Source organism: Homo sapiens, chromosome 11, assembly GCF_000001405.40.
Source record: "Homo sapiens chromosome 11, GRCh38.p14 Primary Assembly".
Taxonomy (NCBI): domain Eukaryota; kingdom Metazoa; phylum Chordata; class Mammalia; order Primates; family Hominidae; genus Homo; species Homo sapiens.
The window spans coordinates 18,455,178-18,480,046 of record NC_000011.10 but is presented as its reverse complement, the minus strand read 5'-3'; the positions used below and the strand labels follow the sequence as shown (position 1 = coordinate 18,480,046).

The 24,869-nt window shown below is 41.8% G+C and overlaps 1 protein-coding gene across 7 annotated transcripts; it reads right to left on the bottom strand.

Annotated features, from left to right (window-relative positions):
• LDHAL6A (lactate dehydrogenase A like 6A) lies at positions 446 to 24,191 on the bottom strand. Of its 7 annotated transcripts, none has more exons than XM_011519923.3 (9): positions 23,969 to 24,191; positions 23,241 to 23,375; positions 15,969 to 16,086; positions 14,237 to 14,410; positions 7,737 to 7,790; positions 4,408 to 4,581; positions 3,546 to 3,663; positions 2,304 to 2,427; positions 446 to 1,341 (listed from the first exon to the last, which is right to left on the bottom strand). In XM_011519923.3, exons 2-9 carry the CDS (start codon positions 23,364 to 23,366, stop codon positions 1,177 to 1,179), a joined length of 1,053 nt encoding a protein of 350 aa, XP_011518225.1. In that variant the 5' UTR covers positions 23,367 to 23,375; positions 23,969 to 24,191; the 3' UTR covers positions 446 to 1,176. The 7 variants fall into 7 exon arrangements, with proteins under 7 accessions (XP_011518225.1, XP_011518224.2, XP_011518227.1 ...); XM_011519922.3 differs by lacking the exon at positions 23,969 to 24,191 and adding an exon at positions 23,821 to 23,959; XM_011519925.2 differs by lacking the exon at positions 23,969 to 24,191 and adding an exon at positions 23,748 to 23,814.
• Positions 24,192 to 24,869: the final 678 nt, after the last annotated feature.

Here is a 24,869-nt window from a genome sequence, read left to right as displayed (position 1 = left end):
GCCTCACTGAACCATAAGTGTTTTCATCAAAAAGGAGCAGAGTGGCAGGTCCAAACTATATACCTGATAACTTTAGGATTAAAGGGAAAGATAGTGTACCATTGCCTCCCTGCTTTTATTGTCATTTAAAGTTTCGTCTTCATGGTGAGTGATTCTGTAGCCAAGTTTGTGACCACCCAATGAACTATATAGCTGCTGTATGTCCTGCAGAGCTCATCCAGAATAGAATGTTCTTGATCAAAATGAGAGTGCTAGAAAGCTCATGAGGCTACAAGGCTACAAAGAAAAGTATATTCCAATTTGGGATGTTATTAAGATAATTAGGCAGCCCACTCTACTCCCAAGAGAAGAATGACCAATTTAATCTGTTGTCACCAAGCGGTTTACAGCTTAAGGCCTTTTCTGTAAAAATTAAAATGCACTCAAAGAATAAAAAACAGCAAGGTCAAATCAATGTTTTATCTAGTGTTAGGAACATTTAGATTACTCTCTGTGTGTGTGTGTATATATATACACTTTTATTTTTACATTGTAGAGATAGCATGTAAATGAACATAGGTATTAAGCCATAGAGAAGAATTACTATGCACCTGATGAAAAGAATCAGGATTTGTGTAACACAGTAAACACATTCTTGTGGACCAGATGGCAATTACGTATACATACAAGGCAAGTACTGAGAAGTACCAAAAACATCTTTGATGCCGTCACTTTAAAAAAAAAAAAAAAAAAGTGTCATCTATCATCTGGATACTAAATCAAAGCTAAGGCCAGGCACAGTGGCTCACCCCTGTAATCTCAGCACTTTGGGAGTTCAAAACCAGCTTGGATGACATGGCAAAACCCCATCTCTACAAAAAGATACAAAAATTAGGCAGGCATGGAGGCACACGCATGTGGTCCCACCTACTCTGGAGGCTGAAGTGGGAGGCTCACCTGAGCTCGGGAGGTCAAGGTTGCAGTGAGCCATGATTGTGCCACTGCACTCCAGCCTGGGTGACAGAATGAGACCCTCCCAAAAAAGAAAAAAAAAAAAGCTGGAAGGCTATACTAAATAGGTCACTCTTTCCTCTATTTTTCCAACTTTTAGAAATTCAAATTTATTCAAAAGTTTGACATATACAATTCCATAACTACTATTTCATCTTCAATCTACAGAATTAGCTTTAAGCAACTTTAAAGCTTGAGCTCCTTCTGAATTTCCCAAAGTGTTTCTGCACTCTTTTGCAAGCAGGCCTCCTCTTCAAGAGTCAGTTTTACTTTTATGAGGTCTGTGATACCATTCTCTCCCAGGATACATGGGACACTAAGGAATATGTCTTCATTTATTCCATAGAGGCCCTGAAAGTAAAGACTTAAAAATTATTCCTTTTTTAACAAAGTTCTGCAATATGAGAAACAACAGTTGGGAGGTGAATGAATAACAGATTGGTATAGTACGAACTATGGCAGAGTACCAAGGCAGAGAACTTTTTTCTTTTTTTTTTGAGACGGACTCTTGCTCTGTCGTCCAGGCTGGAGTGCAGTGGCACGATCTCGGCTCACTGCAAGCTCCGCCTCCCGGGTTCACGCCATTCTCCCACCTCAGCCTCCCAAGTAGCTGGGACTACAGGCACACACCACCACGCCCGGCCGACAGAAAACAATTTAAAACATGATTAGACATATTTATTGTTCAGTTTCAACCCACCATCTCTCCATATAGGCCCCAGCCTCCTGCCATGTTTGCTGGGGCTCACCCTTCTTTCCTCATCTCCTTACTCCATACCACTTCCTATCAGGAGACCACTTCAAAATTCCTATGACTTTGTTTGCAGTGATCTAGATCTGTCTTGTTGTATAACCTCTCCCATTTAGACTAGCAGAGGGATCTCACCCATGCCCCAACTCCCCTTTCCCCAGGAGACTAACTGCTAATTATTTTGTGTCTAGTGCTGCTTTCTTAGATCTCATCATTGGACATAACTGAAACTGTAAGAGAACAACTCCAAAGGTACCAAGGTCTGCCCATAGTGGTTCCCAATGTTTCTAGATACTGGTAGAATCAGTTCACTTAGTTAAATAATAAAGATGCCAAAACACTTACTTTTATCTAATAAAAAGAAATGTCACACTAGACCAGGACAAAGGTCTACAAAGATAGGCTCTTTCCCCAATCTCCCCACTCTTCAGCAGCAAAGAACAGACTTCAGGAAGAGAGGTGCTTCCCACGAGATCAAACCCAAAACCAGAGTGCCTCAAAAATGTTCTTTACCCCCCTATTTTATGTTGAGTTAATGATTTTTCGAACATGAATGTCCTACCTTACTTAGGGTAGAAACTGGATGCACTCTCCTAAGATTCTTCAAAATACTTTCTGTTAAATCAGCTACAGATAGGCTAATGCCCCAAGAAGTATAACCTTTCATTTTGACCATCTCATAGCCACTGTAGATAGAAGAAACCATAAACATAAGTTAAGATGCACTTGTCATTGAACTTCCACTTTGTAGCAATGTATCTAACAATGCCACAAAACTGCAGTGACTCCATCAACAACTTCTAGAAATTACTTGTAGTATGTATGCATTTTTTCTTTCTTCTTTTTTTTTTTTAAGTCTTGCTCTGTCACCCAGGCTGGAGGGCAGTAGTGTGATCTCGGCTCACTACAACCTCCACCTCCCAGGTTTAAGCAATCTTCCCTCCTCAGCCTCCTGAGTAGCTGGGATTACAAGCATGCGCCACCATGCGTGGCTAATTTTTGTATTTTTAGTAGAGACGGGTTTTCACCACGTTGGCCAGGCTGGTCTCATACTCCTGATCTCAAGTGATCCACCTACCCTGGTCTCCCAAAGTGCTGAGATTAGAGGCATGAGGCATGAGCCACCACGCCCGGCCATATATATGCATTTTTGAGAGAGGGTCTCAGCTGGAGTGCATTGGCATCATCAGAGCTCACCTCGACCTCCTGGGCTCAAGCAAGCCACCATATGCTCAGCTAATTTTTTATTTTTTTTGTAGAGATAGGGTCTCCCTATGTTGCCCAGGCTGGTCTCATACTCCTGGGCTCAAGTGATCCTCCCACACCTCAGCAGAGATGGGGTCTCCCTATGTTGCCCAGGCTGGTGTCATACTCCTGGGCTCAAGTGATCCTACCACCTCAGCTTCCCAAAGTGCTGGGATTATAGGCATGAGCCACCATGCCCTGCCACAGTGGTTAAACATTTGAGTTACAAGTACAGAGATGCAGAAATTAATATGGAATCAATTCCACCACTACAATAAACACTATATAGCAAGTGTTTGAAAAAATACATTGTCAGTCAACAAGTGAGCCCCTACCATGTGCTCAATACTGGGTTAGGCTCAGGAATAAGCAACACAGAATCAGTTCCTGACTGTTGAAGAATTTATAATCTGGTGAATATGATCACACAGAAAAGCAGAAGTGCAAATAAAAATATGGGAAATACAACAACATATATTTAAGGGACTAATCTCAACCTTCTAACAGAGTTCAGGCTCACAACTTCTAAGGTACTGAAAATGTGAAACTAGCATATTACCTGGAAATCACTTTTTTGTGGACATTTTCCCACTGCTCAGGATCTTTATCAGTTCCTATATCTGGGTTCAGATCCTTCAGAGGGACGCCAGCAATGTTCACACCACTCCACACAGGAACTAAGAAAGAGACACCCAAAATCCCACTTCTTACATGGTATTAGCAGGGTTTTGGTTTTTGACCTCAGCAAAACTGTTATAATTGCCCTGAGTGATTTCCAACTAGGAATGTTCCGATATCTGAGCCCCACTCCAGATATTCTAAATCTAGATCTCCACAGATGGGGATCCACAATTCTATTATCTTGGCAAAGATTCTCCAAATAAGAAAATTGCAGTTTTAAACTTTCCACTAGGAAGTTCTAGTTTTTCTCCCTTTAAGTCTTTTTCCATAGCCAAGGTTTACATTAAATAGATTTCAAAGGTTTTTAGCCAGAAGACACTAAGGGGGGACAAAAAGACTGCTATTACCACAGCACTCTTTCTCTTCCTTCTTATATCTTCAGTTATACCCATCCCTTAATCTGAAGACTGCCTACTACATGAAGTACACTGCTGACCTTTCTGAACTAGAGTGTCCCAAATTAAATACAAACTATATCATGTTACTTAGTTCTCTATTTAAGAAAAGCGTTATAATCCTAGCCATCCATATGTAGGATTATAGTATCAATCTCACATTTTTCAAATCTGTATTTTTTGTTGGTTATTTTAAAAATAAGTGTGGTAAAAATTAAACGCTACTAAAAGGGCCTAAAGTGGAATAAAGTCTTTTCTCCCCTCCCAGGAGCTACTTTACATTAAATGTCTGTATGATTGATAGGAAATAGATATTTCAGAGGCTCAATCGTGCCTCAGGCTTACCACTTGAGTCGCCATGCTCTCCAAGGATCAGCCCATGACAGCTTTCAGAGTGGATGCCAAGCCTTTGCCCAATAAAGTAACGAAAACGAGCAGAGTCCAGATTACAACCACTTCCAATAACACGGTTTTTGGGAAATCCACTCAACTTCCAGGCTACATAAGTTAAGATATCCACTAAGAAGAAAAAGTTCATATCAAGAAATGTCCTCATCTACAAGGATATGTTTTTTAGATTTACCTAACTTAAAACTAGTAAATCTGATGTTTTGTGGAGGAGGCAAGAAACATGGTTCTCTATCCAACCCCAGCTATACGCCAACTCTTAAGAATATCTACCAAATAGAAGTAATGAAAAACCTTTTCGTTGATACTTTGCACAGCTTGGTATGCAGAAACACAGAATGTTCACTCCACAGAAAATTCTGAGAAATATGAATAAACAAATACTCTCTTATCAAGTCTTTCAAATAATTTTGCTTAGAGAATAACCCATTTTCAACAAAAAGCATAGTTAAGAGGGGAAGAGAGGGATGAGCGCAGTGGCTCACATCTGTAATCTTTAGTAGAGGTGGGGTTTCACTATGTTGGCCAGGCTGGTCTCAAACTCCTGACCTCAGGTGATTCACCTACCTTGGCCTCCCAAAGTGTTCGGACTACAGGCGTGAGCCACCGTGCCTGGCCTAGTTTATATTCTTTAATGCATTTTTAAAACAAAGATTTTTAAAAAATCAATGACAAGTGTTATTTTAACCATAAAATAGAAGGAAGCAAAGAGCATTGAATAGTAGGAAAAAATTATTTTTTTAATAGAGACAGGGTCTTGCTGTGCTGCCCAGGCTGATCTAACTCCTGGCCTCAAGCAATCCTCCTGCCCCAGCCTCTCAAAGTGCTGGGATTACAGATGAGTGACCATGCCCAGCCTAAAAAATATATTTTTTTAAAACAGCATCAGAGGCCAGGTGCAGTGGCTCACGCCTGTAATCCCATTACTTTGGGAGGCCGAAGCCAGTGGATTACCTGAGGTCAAGAGATTGACACCATCCTGGCCAACATGCTGAAACCCCGTCTCTATTAAAAATAAAAAAATTAGCCAGGCATGGTGGTGCGCGCCTGTAGTCCCAGCTATTTGGGAGACTGAGGCAGGAGAATTGCTTGAACCCGGGAGGTGGAGGTTGCAGTGAGCCGAGATCGTGCCACTGCACTCCAGCCTAGCAACAGCAAGACTCCGTCTCAAAAAAAGAAAAGAAAAGAAACATACGTCATCACCAGGCGTGGTGACTCACGCCTGTAATCCCAGCATTTTGGGAGGCCGAGGCGGGTGGATCACGAGGTCAGGAGTTTAAGACCAGCCTGGTCAACATGGTGAAACCCCATCTCTACTAAAAATAAAAAAATTAGCCAGGCGTGGTGGTGGACACCTGTAATCCCAGCTACTTGGGAGGCTGAGGCAGAAAATTGCTTGAACCCGGGAGGTGAAGGTTGCAGTGAGCCGAGATCACACCATTGCACTCCAGCCTGGGCGACAGAGCAAGACTCCGTCTCAAAAAGAAAAGAAAATGAGAAAGAAAAATACTTTAAGAAGAAGCTTCACCCCAGAAATGCAAAGGTGGTTCAATATCAAAAAATCTGTCAACATATTACATCAGATGAGATTTAAAGAAAAAGATAGATATGATCATTTTAACTGTAGGAAAACTCATTCAGGGATTAAAAAATAAAACTAAATCTAGGAACAGAAGGAAACTGCTTTTTATCTTAAAAAGGTATCTATCAAAATCCAAAGCAAACATACATTATGAAGAAAACTTAGAAGCCTTTTCATTAAAGTCAGAAACAAGACAAGGATACCCACTATCACTGTTTCTGTTTAACATTATACTGGAGAGTCTTCTAGGTTATGCAATAGGACAAGGGAGAAAAAAACTACCAAGAATAAACCAAGGCCAGACACGGTGGCTCACACCTGTAATCCCAATTCTTACAGGGAGGCTGAGGTGGGAGGATCACTTGAGACTTGGAGTTTGAGACCAGCCTGGGCAACATAACAAGACCGCGTCTCTACAAAATGTAAAAAGTAGTCAAGTGTGGTGGCATGCACCTTTAGTCCCAGATACTTGGGAGGCTGAGACAGGATCACTTGAGCCCAGGGGTTCAAGGTTACAATGAGCTATGGTTGTGCCACTGCACTTCAGCATAGGTAACAAAGCAAAAGCCTGTATCTATCTGTCTGTCTGTCTGTCTGTCTGTCTACCTACCTACCTTCATCTATCAATTAGTTTTTATAAACAGACCAAAGTCCTTATTTGGAGATGGTAGAATTATCTAATAGAAAACTGCTAATGCCTACTTGCCTGGGACTTTGAGGAGCTACTATAGGAGCAATTATTTTGTTTACTAAAACTGAATACCTTGCTATCTCTTTGATACATGTTTACAAAGCCTGGGTAAAAATGGTATAAATTACTTTTGAACCACCTCTACATTCTGAGGGTTTCAGCAGGACAATGAAGAGGTGTTCTATGTATAGAATTTGCAATATCAAAAATAAGAAAATACTCGTAAGTGAGGAAATGTGTTGGGTTTTTTTTTTAAGTGTAGTAGGACAATATTTCACAAATCATTCTACAAAGTGATTGTCCTGCTATTTCTGCAGTTTCAAAATAGGTGGTTTTTAGAGCCATTCACATAAATTTCCATTAATGAAGTCAAAATTATTTGGGGAAAAACAGGTAAGGTAAAGAGTTCACTTTCATATTATTTGAATTAAACCTCTTTTATTTTCTTACAGGCTCAGTCTTTAAGTAATAAAGTAGCAGCTTTCAAGTAAATGAAGTGTCTAAAATAAATATTGATTCAACTCTTATTTGAAAAATCTATTTGTTCTTGTTTTAGATGATTAGAATAGTATTTTAGGCATTTGTTGGTACCTTTTCCATTTGGTTGAACTTTTAACTTAGCTTTATGTAATAACTCATACTTTAAAAATAATAAATGCATCAAATTCTATCCTAAACATATGAAGACAATTTAAGATTCAGAATCCTGTAGTGGATCTCTGTGAAGGACATAATTTCTAATTTGTCTTTTTTGTAAATCCATATTTTTTATGGCAGATTTAAGTACTCAAATAGTAGAAATTAGACACTTTAAAAAGATATGAAGATGACATCTTTTGTCCTCTGAAACAGTGTTTTCTAAACAGGTAATATTTCCATTAATGTAAAAGTTAGAGCTTCTGTTCCCTGTTTAATATCCATTGATGGTAAAAAGTGATACTGAAACAGTCTGATCATACCACTATTTTAAATGGTAAGCATTCATTCTAATACCTGAGATGGAGAGAAGTATGGTAGAAATGTCTTTAAGTTTCCTCATACATAAAGCTGTCAAGTGAAGAACCTCGGTTAGTCATCCTGGGCCTTAAGAGGTTCGTCAACTGCCACTGAAACTCAAGGGGATTGGGGGACCTCTGCCAGGCCCTGGGTCTGGAACAGAGAATGTGACCTGTTTTAATTGGTAAACTGAAAACAGAGCAAGTAACTCAGCTGTGTCCCAGGGTACCCAACCGCATTTTCTAGGTAAATGACTATAGATTTGAAGAAAAGGTTAAACTTTTCCTAAATCTTTGATCTTCAATTGTTTAGGTTATCTTCCTGTATTATTTTACATCCCCTCCCTTACCGTACTGCCCTCTAAATTTTCCATTTTCCACTTCCATTTGGTCATTTAGTTCATGTAAATAGTTACTGGAACTTTTTAATTTGTAAAAAAAAAAAAAAAATCCTAAATACTCTTAAATCAACAATTACAAACCTTCATAAGCCATTCTGGGTAGATTTTTGTTCTTTTGGAAAAAATTTTTTTTTTTTTTTTTTTTAATAGAGACAGGGTTTCACCATTTTGCCCAGGCTGGTCTTGAACTCCTGGGCTCAAGCAATCCTCCCGCCTCAGCCTCCCAAAGTTCTGGGATTACAGGTGTGAACCACCACGCCCAGCCTCATTCTGAACAGTTTTGAAATTAATACCTAGTATTTGTCATGTCTTGTGCTCCACATTTCCACAGTAATAAACTAAAATGCTATATTAAAATAATGTCAACAGTGTGTTTTTGTAACTGAAATAAGATCTGTATGCAGGCGTGGCGGTTCACGTCTGTAATCCCAGCACTTCGGGAGGTCAAGGTGGGTAGATCACTTGAGGCCAGGAGTTCAAGACCAGCCTGGGCAACATGGCAAAACTCCAGCTCTACTGAAAATACAAGAATTAACTGGGCATGATGGTGTGCGCCTGCAATCCCAGCTACTTGGGAAGCTGAGGCACGAGAATCACTTGAACCCAGGAGGCGGAGGTTGCAGTGAGCCAAGTTTGCGCCACTGCACTCCAGCCTGAGCAACAGAGCAAAACCCTCTCTCAAAAAAAAAAAAAAAAACTTCTAAAGTTTAGTTTTACAATTCTACCACTACATGGACAAAATTATGCACTTAGGTAAGATAAATTAATATTTAACATAAATAAGAAACCCTTACTAATTGCTTGTTTTAATTTTTAAAATTTCACATTCATATCAGCATAATAAAATATCATATATAAACTAAAAGTCTGAAAATAGACTGCAGTAGGTCAGTTACTGAAAATAAAACACTGTTGAAATGTGGCCAGGCGCTGTGGCTCACGCCTGTAATCCCAGCACTTTGGGAGGCTGAAGTGAGCGGATCTCTTGGGGTTAGGAGTTTGAGACCAGACTGGCCATCATGGTGAAACCCCGTCTCTACTAAAAATACAAAAATTAGCTGGGCGTGGTAGTGCACGCCTGTAATTCCAGCTACTTGGGAGGCTGAGGCAGGAGAATTGCTTGAACCCGGGAGGTGGAGGTGGCAGTGAGCCGAGATCACGCCACTGCACTCCAGCCTGGGCAACAGACCAAGACTCCATCTCAAAAAAAAAAAAAAGTGTGCTAGGTAAATAGGTAAATGTGAGTATTGCTATAAAGTTAGTAATGTTTAAAAAATAGCACCACAATCATCATAACTATTAATACATTTAGTTTTTATCCATGATTTGCCAAAATAAAAATTGGCACATCCTTGAAAGGGAGATTTCTAAAGGAACTTAAGAACTTCTAAAAGTGTCTCTGGTGATTCATTTAAATGATACTTACTTTTCCTGACCTTAAAACTCTGATTTGAACTTGCACTCCATTTTGTAGTGATGCTACCTATACATATTACACATGTGTGAAGCCTTTACTACAGAACCACCAAAACCAGGCCTTGAGGACTGTGGAGACACGGGAGCTGCATCTGAAGGCAGTCCTGCATGGGAATTAGTACCTACGCCTGAGAAACCCCTCTCTACCCAGATTGCTCTCAGAATTGCCTTTTCTTTCACTAAAATTTTAGCTAAATATTATCATTCAGTGCCACGCGGTGGCTCACGCCTATAATCCCAGCACCTTGGGAGGCCAAGGCAGGCAGATCATTTGATGCCAGGAGTTCAAGACCAGCCTAACATGGTAAAACCCCATCTGTACTAAAAATACAAAAATTAGCTGGGCATGGTGGCACATGCCTGTAATCCCAGCTACTTGGGAAGCTGAGGCATGAGAATTGCTTGAACCTGGGAGGCGGAGATTGCAGTGAGCCGATATTGCATCACTGCACTCCAGCCTGGGTGACAGACAGAGACTCTGTCTCAAAAAAATAAATAAAATTATCATTCGGGGGGGAAAAAATCTTTCCTGAGTGGTATCAATTTTTGGTAGCTTAATACTAATTTAAAGTTGTCAGTTTTTGTTTTTGTTTTTGTTTTGTATTAGAGTAATGAAGTTAATTGTTTCTCTTAACTTTTGAAGCACCTGAAATTTTGAAGATGGTTCTTAGTGGACCATTTTAACAGACTCACTAAAATAATGGAGAAGACTTTCTTCACATGGTTCTAATATCAGAATAAGTTTTCTAAATAGATATGGAAGATATATTTGATAGTGTGTACTATAACTGCATACACTGTCAAGCAAATACAGAACTAAGCTGTTAAATCATTTGAGATTGAGATTTTTTTATTTTTCCTTATTTTTACTGCTGTTAATGGCAGACAGCCAGTATATAAAATGTAGAAAGAGTATCCTCTGAATGTGCTTATTAGAAATATTAGTCAATAAATTAAATATTCTTTAATAGACTTCTGCCATAATGCATAGAGAAGCATCTTTTGCTAATGTACACTTCTAAAATCTGTGGTGGGAGTGTGGTGGGCCAGTTAATGTTGCCAAGCAAGTGATGCTTAATTTGTTTTTCCTAATTTGTTATCATATAACCTTAATGACGCGGTACTTTGAGGGTAGAGGCGTTTTAGTGCAAATCAAAGTAGGTTGGGGATTCACTTAACACAAACAGTAAATGTGAACTTACTGTCCCCACAGACTTCAGTGCCCTGAACGGTTAGAGAAATTAATGAAGGAGCTCCACCAGGTGCCTTCACAACTCTGAGTCATATCAGAATCTCTCCACAGCTCTCCTTTCAAAAATGACACCGTGACATTTCAGGATGTGAAAAAACTTACTGGAAAGTGTGTAAGAAAATATAAAATACTATTGTACAATGTGATAATGTATCATCAGCTTGTTATTTTCAGTGTGCTTCCTTGTAGCGCCGGACTACCATTTCTGAATTTTGGATTTGGTATTTTTTTTAAAGAATCAAACTCTTAAAAGAGGAAATGCTTATACCAATAGCCTGTATGAAGCAAAATTTATGTGAAAGCTAAAGATATGCATGCAGTTAAATATATAAATAAATCTCAATGCCATACAAAAAGAACTTTTGATAATCTATGAACTATTTTAAAAAAGAAAAAACAGCCTCAAACTTATGGGATACCGTTAAACACACCAACATATATATGCATGTATGGTAGGACCAGAAGGAAGGGAGAGGAGCAGAAAATTATTCAAAGAAGTAACAGCTGAAACTTCCCAAATAGAAAAACATTATACATCCAAGCCGGGTGCAGTGGCTCATGCCTGTAGTCCCAGCACTTTGGGAGGCTGAGGTGGGCAGATCAGTTCGGGTCAGGAGTTCAAGACCAGCCTGGCCAACATGGAGAAACCCCGTCTCTACTAAAAATACAAAAAGTTAGCCAGGAGTGGTGGTGGGTGCCCATAATCCCAGCTACTCAGGAGGCTGAGGCACAAGAATCACTTGAATCCAGGAGGCGGAGGTTGCAATGAGCCGAGATCATGCCACTGCACTCCAGTCTGGGCCACAGGGCAAGACTCCATCTCAAAAAAAGAAAAAAAAAAAAACCTATACATCCAAGCTGCTCAATGAATGCCAAGTGGTATAAACTGAAAGACATTCACACTTCAACACATCATAGTCAAACTGTTACAAGCCAAAGAGAAAATACTGGAAACAGCAAGAGAAAAACAACTTATTAAATACAAAAGAACCAAAATGAATCAGCAGTAATCCCTATCAAAATCCTTGCTGGTTTTACTTCAGAAATTGACAAGCTGATACATAAATTCATATGGAAATGCTAAAGATCCAGACAAGCAAAATATATATATATATATGTATATATATATACGTATATATATGTATATATATATACGTATATATATGTATATATATACGTATATATATGCATATATATACGTATATATATACGTATATATATACGTATATATATATGTGTGTGTATATATATATGTGTGTGTATATATATATATATATATATATATATATATATATATATGTGTGTATATATATATATTTTTTTTGAGACAGTCTTGCCCTGTTGCCCAGGCTGGAGTGCAGTGGTGCGATCTCAGCTCACTGCAGCCTCTGCCTCCTGGGTTCAAGCGATTCTCTTGCCTCAGCCTCCCAAGTAGCTAGGATTACAGGTGTGCACCACCATGCCCAGCTAATTTTTGTATTTTTAGTAAAGATGGGATTTTGCCATGTTGGCCAGGCTGGTCTTGAACTCCTCACCTCAGGTGATCCACCTGGCTCAGCTCCCAAAGTGCTGGGATTCCAGGTGTGAGCCACCACGCCTGACCCAAAATAATCTTAAAGAATAGTCAGAAGACTTAATACATCCTGATTTCAAAACTTACCACAAAGCTACAGTAATCAACATATTTATAAATACTACTATGGAGTTGAGCTTCATGATATATTAAGTTAAAAATGAAAGAAGATGGAGAAAAACGTATGTAGTAACAAAAAGCTGTAAACCATAAAAAGTGTAAATGGTTACCTATAAAAGGATGGAGGCTATAGGGGAAAGGGCACAGGGACAGAAGCTGGACCACTTTGAATAATTCCTGTTCTCTAGAATTGATGTTGGAGCCATGTGAATATTTTATAAAACTGTGAAACAAAAGTTAAATAGTTCTTCAGCATCGAAATTAAAATGAATAAACTTAATCATGCACTCACTGTTGGTCTGCACAGAGAAAAACTACTCCAAATAATTTTAGAATACAGTAATTTGAATATCCCTAAACTACTAAGCTCCAGACTCATAATCTCTAGCTGTTTGACATTTCCTCTTGAGTATCATTTCAGGTATCTTGATTTTTCCCCTCTATATGTAACATCCCTGCCTCCTTCCCTCACTGACTCCCACCCGATCAGTAAATTTACCAACCCAGTTAAATGGAACTACCATCCCTTCAGTTACTCAAAGGAAAAACTCTCGAAGTTATTTTTTATTCCTCCCTTTCTCTCACTAGACATAATCTATCAGCAGTCCTGCACATTTTATCTCCGAAGTCTATTTTCAGTTTGTCCACCTTGTAAATGCACCAGTGAGGAGTCTAGTACAATTTTGGAGAGTCAGGCAGTAAACTATAGCCCTACTTTCACTTCTCAAACAGTAATTTGGAAAACAAACCTCAGCCTTTAGAATATAAACCTTGAACTCATATGATTAAGCATATTATCTTCCCATACACACTACTTTTTTTTTTTTTTTTTTTTGAGACAGGGTCTCACTGTGACCCAGGCTGGAGTGCAGTGGCGCAATCATGGCTCACTGCAGCCTTGACCTCCCTGGCTGAAGCAATCCTCCCGCCTCAGCCTCCTGAGTAGCTGGGACTACAGGAATGCTCCACCATGCCCTGATAATTTTTGTATTTTTTTGTAGAGATGGAGTTCTGTCATGTTGCCCAGGCCATTCTCAAACTCCTGGATTCAAGCACTTCACCCACCTTGGGCTCCCAAAGTGCTGGGATTACAGGCTTCAGCCACTGCATCTGGCCTCACACTAGTATTTTTTAAAGTCATTATAGTATATACACTGATTACCACTGTGCAAAGTACATATTACACTAACAAAACAGAGATTCTGGAATTATACTGGTGGTTTACGATTTAATATTCATTAAATTCTTTTTCTCCTCAAAGTTACTAAACCCACCCCCAAAAACTCCTTCACTGAACAGTGAAAATAAAGCTGTCCTATGCAGCCATAAAAAACAAAATCATGTCCTTTGCAGCAACATGGATGCAGCTGGAGATCATTATTCCAAGCTAATTAATGCAGGAACAGAAAACCAAATACATGTTCTCACTATAAGTGGGAGCTAAACATGTGGGTGCACATGGACATAAAGATGGGAACAAATGACACTGGAGACTACTAGAGAGGGAGGGAGTGAGAGCAGCAAGGGCTGAAAAACTATTAGGTACTTTGCTCAGTACCTGGGTGGCAGGATCAATCCTACCCCAAACCTCAGCATCACACAGTATACTCATGTAATGAACCTACACAGTGTACCCCCGAATCTAAAAGTTGAAAATTTAAAACAACAAAGCTGACCTGGATTAGTAACAATAAGCAGTTTGCAGTGAGGACTGTACTGGGTAATATTGGGAATCATTAATTTAAAGATGGATACATTTCGCTGGACTAAATCAAGGCGTGTTTCTCCTTTTTTCTGGCGTGCACCTGCTGTGATAATCACTAGATTGGAGTTTGCAGTGACCAGGTAATCTGAGGAAAGATTAGAATAAACAATCGATTATGAAAGAAAACATCTGGCATTTAAGTATACTTCCTGTTCACTTCAATCACCACACTATGTTTACCAAAGAGTGGGTTCCCTTAAATCTTCTAGTATGCCTAGACTACTTTTTAATTTCAGGAAATTAGCACTAAGTTTCCCTTGTACATTTTTTTTAATAATAAAAAAAAAAAAAAAAACGTAAGTCATGTGCAGTGGCTCACCCCTGTAATCCCAGCACTTTGGGAGGTCGAGGTGGGTCCATCAAATGAGGTTAGGAGTTCAGGACCAGACTGGCCAACATGGCAAAACCCCATCTCTACTAAAAATACAAAAATTAGCCAGGCACAGTGGCGGATGCCTGTAGTCCCAGCTACAAGGGAGACTGAGGCAGGAGAATCACTTGAACATGGAGGCAGTGAGCCAAGATCACACCACGACACTCCAACCTGGGTGACAGAGCGAGACTCCGTTTCCAAAAACAAAAACCTCCTAAATTGGGTACAGTAGTGCACTCCTATAGTCCCAGTTACTTGGAGGCTGAGACCAAGAGGATCACACACGAGCCCAGAAGTCCAAGTCCAGCCTGCACCAACATAGCAAGACACTGTCTCAAAAACAAACCAAAACAAAACAAAACAAAAAAAAACAAAAAAAACACCTCACCTCCTAAAATACCTTTTGTATTATTTAGATGAAGAGGTCAAAATATGGATTACTCTGGCAAGAATATTTAGAGATAGATGTGGTGTGAACAGACCTTTGAATAGCAAATTGTTGGTTCATTCGTTTGTTCAAATAATTATCTCCCAGGTGCCAAGTGAATAAAGTACAGTAGTGAAGAGCTTAGGCTTTGGAATCAAACAGAACTGAGTTCAAATCCCTACTCCATCACTTTTTTTTTTTTTTTTGAGACAGAGTTTCACTCTTGTTGCCCAGGCTAGAATGCAATGGCACGATCTTGGCTCACCACAACCTCCACCTCCCAGGTTCAAGCGATTCTCCTGCCTCAGCCTCCTGAGTAGCTGGGGTTACAGGCATGCACCACCACGCCCGGCTAATTTTTATGTTTTTAATAGAGACAGGGTTTCTGTATGTTAGTCAGGCTGGTCTCGAACTCCCAACCTCAGGTGATCCACCTGCCTTGGCCTCCCAAAGTTCTGGGATTACAGGCATGAGCCACCATGCCTGGTCCTATCACTTTTAATTAACCTTAGTTCAGAGGTACATCATCTCTAAAATAGAGTTGTGCTCAGGATTAAATTATATAAAGTGCTTGGGTCAATGTCTCACACACAATAGGCAGTCAGTTCATTGTAGCTGTCATGATAACTGCTGTTACTGCTGCTCACAAGGAACTCAGTCTGGTGCCGTGGGAAACCTTGCAAAGTACAACCCAAGGAATCTGAACACGTTATGAGAGTACAGAGTAGGGAGCAACCAGCCTTATCTATAAAAACTGGGGAGGTCAAAAGAAATAAAGATGATTTTCTTAGATACTTGTTCATGTATATTAGAATATTTATAGTATTTAACTATGACATTAACCTTTGCTGGAGACAATATTTGGCATTTTCATAAAAGGGCTGCCATGTTGAAGATCCATTGTCTCACCCTTCAGTTTGCCTTCATCAACATCCACAAGGACAAGTTCATCACTCAAACCCTGAAAAACATTGTTAGTCCAATGGGTGTGAGTGTATCTCTTGATTAACTGGAGAATGAAAGAAAATTCTTATATTGGTGATCTATGTCTAGCTTGTGAATTATCAAAATCAAAGGAAACATAATAAATGATCTCATCATTTTGTCATGATATAAAAGTCTAAACCAGAAAAAATACAAATTACAAAGAGGAGCATTTCAGCTCATCATGAGGAAAACAAAAACAGAAACTGCTTAGTAAATAGAACAATCTCTGAAAGTAGTGAACACCCCGATTTTCAATTTCAGCTGAGGCTGCACAGTGATAAAGTAGTGCTTCTGCTGAAGGAATTTCTCACCAGACCTTGAGCTTCTTGAGACTAGGAAGTCATTCATCCCCAGCCATCTGGTGCTTACTTATCATCCACCTGGCACAGAGGAGCTCAGTAAAAGTTTTTTGAATAAATGGTATCTTAGTCCATTTTCTGTTCCTTATAACAGAATACATGAAACTGAGTACCTTATAAAGAAAAGGAATTTATTTCTTACAGTTATGGAGGCTGAGAAGTCCAAGGTCAGGGGGCCGCCATATGGTGAGGGCTTTCTTGCTGGAGGAGACTCTGCAGAGTCCCAAGGCAGCACAGGGCATCACATGGCAAGGAGGCTGCGATTGCTAAATTCAGGTCTGTCTTCCTCTTCTTATAAAGCTACCATTCCCACTCCCCTGATAACCCATTCATCCATAGATTAATCCATGGCAGAGCCCTCATGACCCAGTCAACTCTTAAAGGCCCCACCTCTCAATACTGCCACATTGAGGATTAAATTTAAACGAGTTCCAGAGGGGACAAACATTCAAACCACAGCAAATGGATTAAAATATAGGGCTCCTTCCAACTCAAAAATATTTTAGTTCTATAATCAGACAGTTATTACCTACAGAAATCAATTCATACTATAATTTCTATGATGCTACTTTATATGTAAGAAAGGAGAGAAAATATACTTCTATTTGAAAAAAAAAAAACACTAGAAATACAAGAAACTGATTCAAATAATTGCCTAAAGTGGATGCTAAGGAAAGATTGGATGGAAACCAGTATGACTTCTCCATGTATGTTTTTTTGTTTTTGTTTTTGTTTTTTTTTGAGATGGAGTCTCTTGCTCTGTTCCCCAGGCTGGAGTGCAGTGGTGCAATCTCGGCTCACTGCCACCTCCGCTTCCTGGGTTCTAGTGATTCTCCTGCCTCAGCTTCCTGAGTAGCTGGGATTACAGGCATGCACCACCATGCCCAGCTAATTTTTGGGTTTTTTTTGTTTTTTTTTTTGTTTGTTTGTTTGTTTTTTGAGACAGAGTCTTGCTCTGTTGCCCAGGCTGGAGTGCAGTGGCGTGATCTCGGCTCACTGCAAGCTCCGCCTCCCAGGTTCACGCCATTCTCCTGCCTCAGCCTCCCGAGTAGCTGGGACTACAGGCGCCCGCCACCACACCTGGCTAATTTTTTGTATTTTTAGTAGAGACGGGGTTTCACCGTGTTAGCCAGGATGGTCTTGATCTCCTGACCTAGTGATCCGCCCGCCTCTGCCTCCCAAAGTGCTGGGATTACAGGCATGAGACACCGCACCCGGCCAATTTTTTTGTATTTTTAGTAGAGACAGGGTTTCACCATGTTGGCCAGGCTGGTCTCAAACTCCTGACTTCAAGTGATCCACCTGCCCCGGTCTCTCAAAGTGATGGGATTACAGGCACAAGCCTTAATCCGCGCCCGGCCTTGTATGTATCTTTCTGAATTTTACTTTTACTTTTTGTTTCTGAGACAGGGGCTTGCTCTGTCCCCCAGGTAGGAGTACAGTAGCATGATCATGACTCATTGCAGCCTCAACTTTCTCAGGCTCAGATGATCCTCCCACCTCAGCCTTCTGGGTAGCTGGGACAACAGGCGCCTACCACCACATCACAGGAGCCTGCCACCACATCTGGCTAATTTTTGTATTTTTTGTAGACATGGGGTTTCACCATGTTGCCCAGGCTGGTCTCAAAGTCCAGGACTCAAGTGATCCGCCTGCCTCAGCCTACCAAAGTTACAAGCGTGAGCCCATGCCCAGCCTAGTTTTTTTTTTTTTTTCTTTTTTTTGAGACGGAATCTTGCTCGTTGCCCAGGCTGGAGTGCAGTGGCACTATCTCGGCTCACTGCAACCCACACCTTCCCGGGTTCAAGCGATTTTCCTGCCTCAGCCTCCTGAGTAGCTGGGATTACAGGCGCCTGCCACCATGCCCGGCTAATTTTTTGTGTGTTTTTAGTAGAGACGGGGTTTCACCATGTTGGCCAGGCTGGTCTCAAACTCCTAACCTCATGATTTGCCTGCCATGGCCTCCCAAAGTACTGGGATTACAGGCTTGAGCCACCGCACCCAGCCTTACTTTCAAATCTTGTAAATGTATTACCTTTTAACTACATATTCTTTTTATCTTTATTACATAATAAATTTTTCCTTGGAGGAAAAATAACGCCTTTGTGTTAGTGCTTAGAAGTAAATGATCAAGGTGGGACATGGTGGCTCACGCCTATAATCCCAGCACTTTGGGAGGCCAAGGTGGGCGGATCATGAGCTCAGGAGTTCGAGACCAACCTGGCCAATATGGTGAAACCCTGTCTCTACTAAAAATACAAAAATTAGCCGGGCGTGTTGGCATGCACCTGTAGTCCCAGCTACTCGGGAAGCTGAGGCAGATGAATCGCTTGAACCCAGGAGGCAGAGGTTGAAGTGAGCCATGATCGCGCCACTGCACTCCAGCCTGGGCAACAGAGCGAGATTCTGTCTCAAAAAAAAAACAAGTAAATGACCAAGGCCGGGCGCGGTGGCTCACGCATGTAATCCCAGCACTTTGGGAGGCCAAGGCGGGCGGATCACCTGGGGTCAGGAGTTCCAGACCAGCCTGGCCAACATCGTGAAATCCTGTCTCTACTAAAAATACAAAAATTAGCTGGGCATGGGGGCACATGCCTGTAATCCCAGCTACTTGGGAGGCTGAGGCAGGAGAATCACTTGAACCCGGGAGGCGGAGGTTGCTGTGAGCTATCAGATTGACCATTGCACTGCAGCCTGTGCAACAGAGTGAGACTCCCTCTCAGAAAAAAAAGAAAAGGAAAGAAATAACCAAGCATCCATAATTTAAGCACATATCCAATTCACATTGTTAGTGCTTTTTACCTTTTTTCTTTTTTGAGACAGGGTCTCACTTTGTCACCCAAGCTGGAGTACAGTGGCACATTCATGGCTCACTGCAGCATTAATCTCTTGGTCTCAGGCAAGCTTCCTGCCTCAGCCTCCCAAGTAGCTAGTACTACTAGCATGTACCACCGCACCTGGCATTTTTTTTTTTTTTTTTTGAGACGGAGTTTCTGCTCTTGTTGCCCAGGGTGGAGTGCAATGGTGCGATCTTGGCTGACTGCAACCTCTGCCTCCCGGGTTCAAGCGATTCTCCTGCCTTAGCCTCCCAAGTAGCTGGGATTACAGATGCATGCCACCGTGCCCAGCTAGTTTTTTATATTTTTAGTAGAGATGGGGTTTCACCATGTTAGCCAGGCTGGTCTCAAACTCCTGACCTCAGGTGATCCACCCGCCTTGGCCTCCCAAAGTGCTGGGATTACAGGTGTGAGCCACCGTGCCCGGCCACCTAGCCAATTTTTAATTTTTATTCATTTATTTATATTTTAGAGACAGGGTCTTGCTTTGTTGCCTAGGCTGGTCTCAAACTCCTAGGCTCAAGTGATACTACTGCCTTGGTCTCCCAAAGTGCAGGATTACAGGCATGAGCCACTGCCTGGATCCAGCCTGGATCTTTTTACTCTATTCGAATTACTGGAAATTCAAAGCCAAGCGCTTTACATTTTAAACTAGACTGTACAACTGATCAACCTAGAAGTCTAAGCTGCATTACAAGCAGCCAGGTAACTGAGGTCAACATCAACACTGATAAATCATGACAGTATGTAGCCGGGATATGATGTGATGAAAAGTGGCACTTTATTCCTATGTCTTCCTCCCCAAAACCCAAAACCTCGGTCTCACCATCAAAAAAAACCCCACCAAATTCCAAGAGAAAGGTGTTCTACAAAATACTTGACTAGTACTCCTCAGAATGCTCAGTCATCAAAAACAAGAAAAATCTAAAGAAACTGTCATAGCCTAGAGGAGCCCAAGGAGATACAGTGACTAAACGTCATGTGGTATCATCCTGGATGGGATCATGGAACAGAAAAAGGACAGGTAAAAACTAAAGAAATCTGAGTAAAGTGTGGACTTTAGTTAAAGGTGATATGTCAATATCCATTCTTTCATCGTGACAAATGTACCACACTAAGGTATACAATATGTATTAGAGTTCTCTAGAGGGACAGGACTAATAGGATAGATGTCGATATGAAAGGGAGTTTACTAAGGAGTACTGACCCACATGATAACAATGTGAAGTCCCACAACAGGCCATTTGCAAGCCGAGGAGCAAGGAAGCCAGTCCAAGTCCCAAAACCTCAAAAGTAGGGAAGCCAACAGTGCAGCCTTCAGTCTGTAGCCAAAGGCCCGAGAGTCCCTGGCAAACCACTGGTGTAGGTCTCAGAGTTCAAAAGCTGAAGAACTTGGAGTCTGATGTTTGAGGGCAGGAAGCATCCAGCACGAAAGAAAGATGAAGGCTGGAAGACTTAGCCAGTCTAGTCCTTCCACGTTCCTCTGCCTGCTTTTATCCTAGACGTGCTGGCAGCTGATTAGATGGTGCTCACCCAGATTGAGGGTGGGTTTGCCTCTCAGTCCTCGGACTCAAATGTTAATCTCCTTTGGCAACACCCTCACAGACACACCCAGGAACAATACCCTGCATCCTTCAATCCAATCAAGTTGACAATATTAACCACCACACCATACTAAGGTGTAATGTGGGGTATAAACTGTTATCCTTTCAATTTTTCTGTAAATCTAAAACTATTCTAAAAAATAAAGTCTATAAAAATATATCCTAACAATCTCTCTGGACTCCCTTTCCTTATTTATAAAAATGAAAGTAAACAGAATATCCCATCTTTATATTCACAATCCAGTGCATTCCATTTTAATGGGCATCTTTTAGCAATTCTTTCATCCAACTACTAAATATCAATTACAGGAGGCACTCTTCTAGATTCCAGATACAACACTAAAAGAAAAAGTGGATCTCGCATTATACTAATTAAAGTTTATGTATTATGGTAAAACTCAGTAATTTTTAAAGACATTACTGTTTCTCTACAAGGTTCATACCACAAATTCCTGACAATAAATTCCTGAACAATTCATATTGAGAATTCCTTATCAGCAAGGAGTTTTTAGGCTATCACCACCTCCTTGAATGACAGAAGTTGCAGTGTCTAGGGCCAGGACAGGGAAAGATTAAAGTGAGCCTTAACCTGAGGCTTTATAGGGGGATTGTGTACCCTATTTCCTAAGATATACAAATGCCATAGTTAGCAACATACTAGAATTCAAGTTCTAGAAGCAGGAGGTGACTGGGAAGGCTCTGCTTCATACCTTTACAGCAGGGAGCACCACTGAGTTTGAACAATGGGTGCTACAGGTGGCATTTTAAGCCTCCAGAGGTAAGCCACCAGTGGAGCCTACAGATGCTCTTACATGCCCGGTGGGGCCTGTGCCTCCCATCACCAGTTGCAATGGAATGCACTCCTGCCCTTCTGTACTCCTATCCACCACCTCCACCTGAGATCTATCTAGGACCTCCCATCATGGATAGGGCCATGAAACAAGTGCAGCCCCATGGCACTGCCCTATCCTGGGCCCTGGAACCTCCCATCAGAAGCCCCAAAATTCCCTCCACTCCTGCAACCAAAGCCAAGCAGCAGCTGGCAGAGGTAGGAGTTCCAGGGATATGGCTCAGTCCCTCCCTGAATGGCCCTTCAAAGCAGAGGTGATAAATAAATCTTTTATTTCAAGCTTTTCTATATATATTACCTGTATACTTATCTATTCATGCAATTAGAGATAGTCTATTCCTTTTTTCTCCTCTAAAAAGTAGGTCTAATATTTACTTTCCAGGGTTGTAATATTGGATAATGCATACAAACATACTGTTATCATTATTACTGATGTTAAAAAAAATGTGTTGGGCAAAGCAAGGTGGCTCACATCTGTTATCTCAGCACTTTAGGAAGCCGAGACCTCCTGCTTGAGGCCAGGAGTTTGAGAGCAGCCTGGGCAATACGTGGAGGCCCCATCAAACAATCAATGAGTCACAGATGTGTTGGTTTTCACGTGTGTGTATTCTTCATTAGCAGTGAGGACACTGCTGATAAAGGCATTACAATAGGTAGGACAAAATGAATCATGGGGAATTTGTATGGCTGGCAGGAGCAGCAGTTGGCTGTGGCTGCTGTCCTTAGTGCCATAAGGTCACTATGTCATCTAGATATGAAACCCAGAGGCAATCCTTTAAATCCAATGACTCATGCCAGGATTAAAGGTTATATAAAAGATGGCTAAAACATTTTACAGATATTTCATTAATAAAAGTATAGCTCAGAGTGTCTTATGATTTATTAAAACTTTATGGTAATAAAGTTCATATCAGGGTAATATTCTTAGAAAGGGGTCAGAATCTTTTTTTGGCCTCTGTCTATAGCCATAAAACTTTATCAGCTGTATCAATACTAAGAACAGCTAAACACTAAAACTAACCTAACATGAATAAGGAACGAAGGGAAATAAAGATATACAGACTAGGAAATGGGAGAGAGATATTTAAATGAAAAAAGATTATTGTATTTGGTACTCGTAGGCTGCCTACCATCACTGACACGCTTGTATACTCTTTTCTGCCACCTATTTCTCTCCAGTTTGTTTTGTGAGCTGAGTTTCCAAATCAAGCAAAGGGGTACCTCATATTGTCATTACGTGAAAGTGAAATGTCAACATACTTTCACAGAGATGCTTCTAACCCACATGATATCATCATACAATTTTTAAAAAGGAGCGCCCTCTGGGTGAACAACTAAAAAAAGGGCACCTTTTCCTCTGATGCCCCTCACACTGGCTCCCCACTCACCACCTTGAACTGGACACAACCTCCACAACCATACGCTGTGGCCTCGCCTCCAACTGAGGTGAACCCTGTGGTGCAGAGCACACAACTTACTTTTAATAAGATGCTGATAGCACAAGCCACACCAACCGATCCAGTTCCTACAATGGAGATCTTATTGTGATGAATGGCCTCCTCTTCCGCGAAATTCTTAATAAGTTCACTCTTGATAGTTGCCATCTTGGAAACCTAACAGTGAAGACAAATTGCACAGCCATTTCCAAGACCTGGAATTGGAAATGGCTTGGAATTCCAAGACCTGCGGTGAGAGCGCGTATAGAGAACTCCTGGGCCCGTGTGGAAGGAGGTGCTGCAGACACACAAAAGACCGACAAATCTGACCAGCAAAGAAGCTGGGTAGGTTCTGGCCAGGCAGCTCAGCATCCATGAAGCGGACCAGGGGAAGGAGAAGGAAGCGTGAGTACAGTTAAGAGGAATTAAGAGAGAGAGAGAGGAAAGGAACAGGGGTTGCTCCACCAAACATGAAACTACAGCTGGGACGGCACTCCGTCCCGCAGCTGACCCCCTTTTCTCTCCCCTTTACCCTGCTGTTCCCCCAACCTCCAGTTCTCAGCTCCAGGACTGCGCCCGGGGTCCGCAGGTCCAGGTGAGAGGTACTTCTGGCCACACTCACAGGGGTGAAGGGCCACCCGCGCCCGAGCAGGTCACATGCCGCCTGGCGGAGACACAGAACCATCCTTGGGCAAAAACAATTCGCTCCCGCGGCGCCCGCTCTCTGGCTGCTCCCCAGGACTCTTGCAGCCCAGCTCATGGCCACTCACTCAAGAGGTGAAGAAAGAGAATGGAGGAAAATGGCGTTAAAGCTCATCGAGGCACGAAGGAGATGAACCGCCGACTAACAGACGCCGGGTCGCCCCCTTACTGCAGCTGCGCGGACCGCACCCAGCTCGTGCAGGCATCGCAGGTGTGATGCTTGGCAGGTGTGATGCTTGGCAGGTGTGATGCTTGGCAGGTGTGATGCTTGGCAGGTGTGAGGCCGGAAGCGGGCTGCGAAGCACCGCGCCTGCGCCTCTGCCTGCCCGCCCCGCCCCCGCGTGCGGGTGGGCGGGCTGCGGTGTAGGTGGTTGGCCGGCTGCAGAAGGCGCACGAGGTGCTGCAGGCACAACGCAGTGCAGGGCCTCTGCTGTTGGGCGGAGTTGTTTGCCTAGAACCCATCCACCAGAGAGCCCAAGTAATTTTATTTCTAACCAAACCTTGTCTGGATGTATCTGAAAAGGACTGTTTGACTCTCACGTGAAAATTTTCCCCCAGCCCTGTAGGAGAAAGGGACCTCAAGATTAACTTTTACCACCTCAAATGTGAGCTAAAGTAGAAAAAGTAAAATTTTAAAACTCTGGGCCGAGCGTGGTGGCTCACGCCTGTAATCCCAGCACTCTGGAAGGCCAAGGCGGGCGGATCACCTGAGGTCAGGGGTTCGAAATCAGCCTGGCCAACATCGTGAAACCACGTTTCTACTAAAAATACAAAAATTAGCTGGACGTGGTGGTGCACCCCTGTAATCCCAGCTACCTGGGAGGCTGAAGCACAAGAATTGTTTGTGAACCTGGGAGGCGGAGGTTGCAGTAAGCCGAAATTGTGCCACTGCACTCCAGCCTGGGTGACGGAGTGAGACCCTGTCTCAAAACAACAACAAAACTCTGTATGCAAAAGGAATTTGGAAAT

What these genes read in the sequence shown, in the direction of transcription:
- LDHAL6A (XM_011519922.3), bottom strand. Translation starts at nt 23,958, where the DNA reads ATGAGCTGGGCTGCAAGAGTCCTGGGGAGCAGCCAGAGAGCGGGCGCC. An exon ending in AGAGCATGGCGACTCAAGTG is followed by an intron (nt 3,664 to 4,407) that starts GTAAGCCTGAGG and finishes TCTCTTTCTTAG; the next exon opens with TTCCTGTGTGGAGTGGTGTG. An exon ending in CACAAAAAAGTGATTTCCAG is followed by an intron (nt 2,428 to 3,545) that starts GTAATATGCTAG and finishes TTCTATCTACAG; the next exon opens with TGGCTATGAGATGGTCAAAA.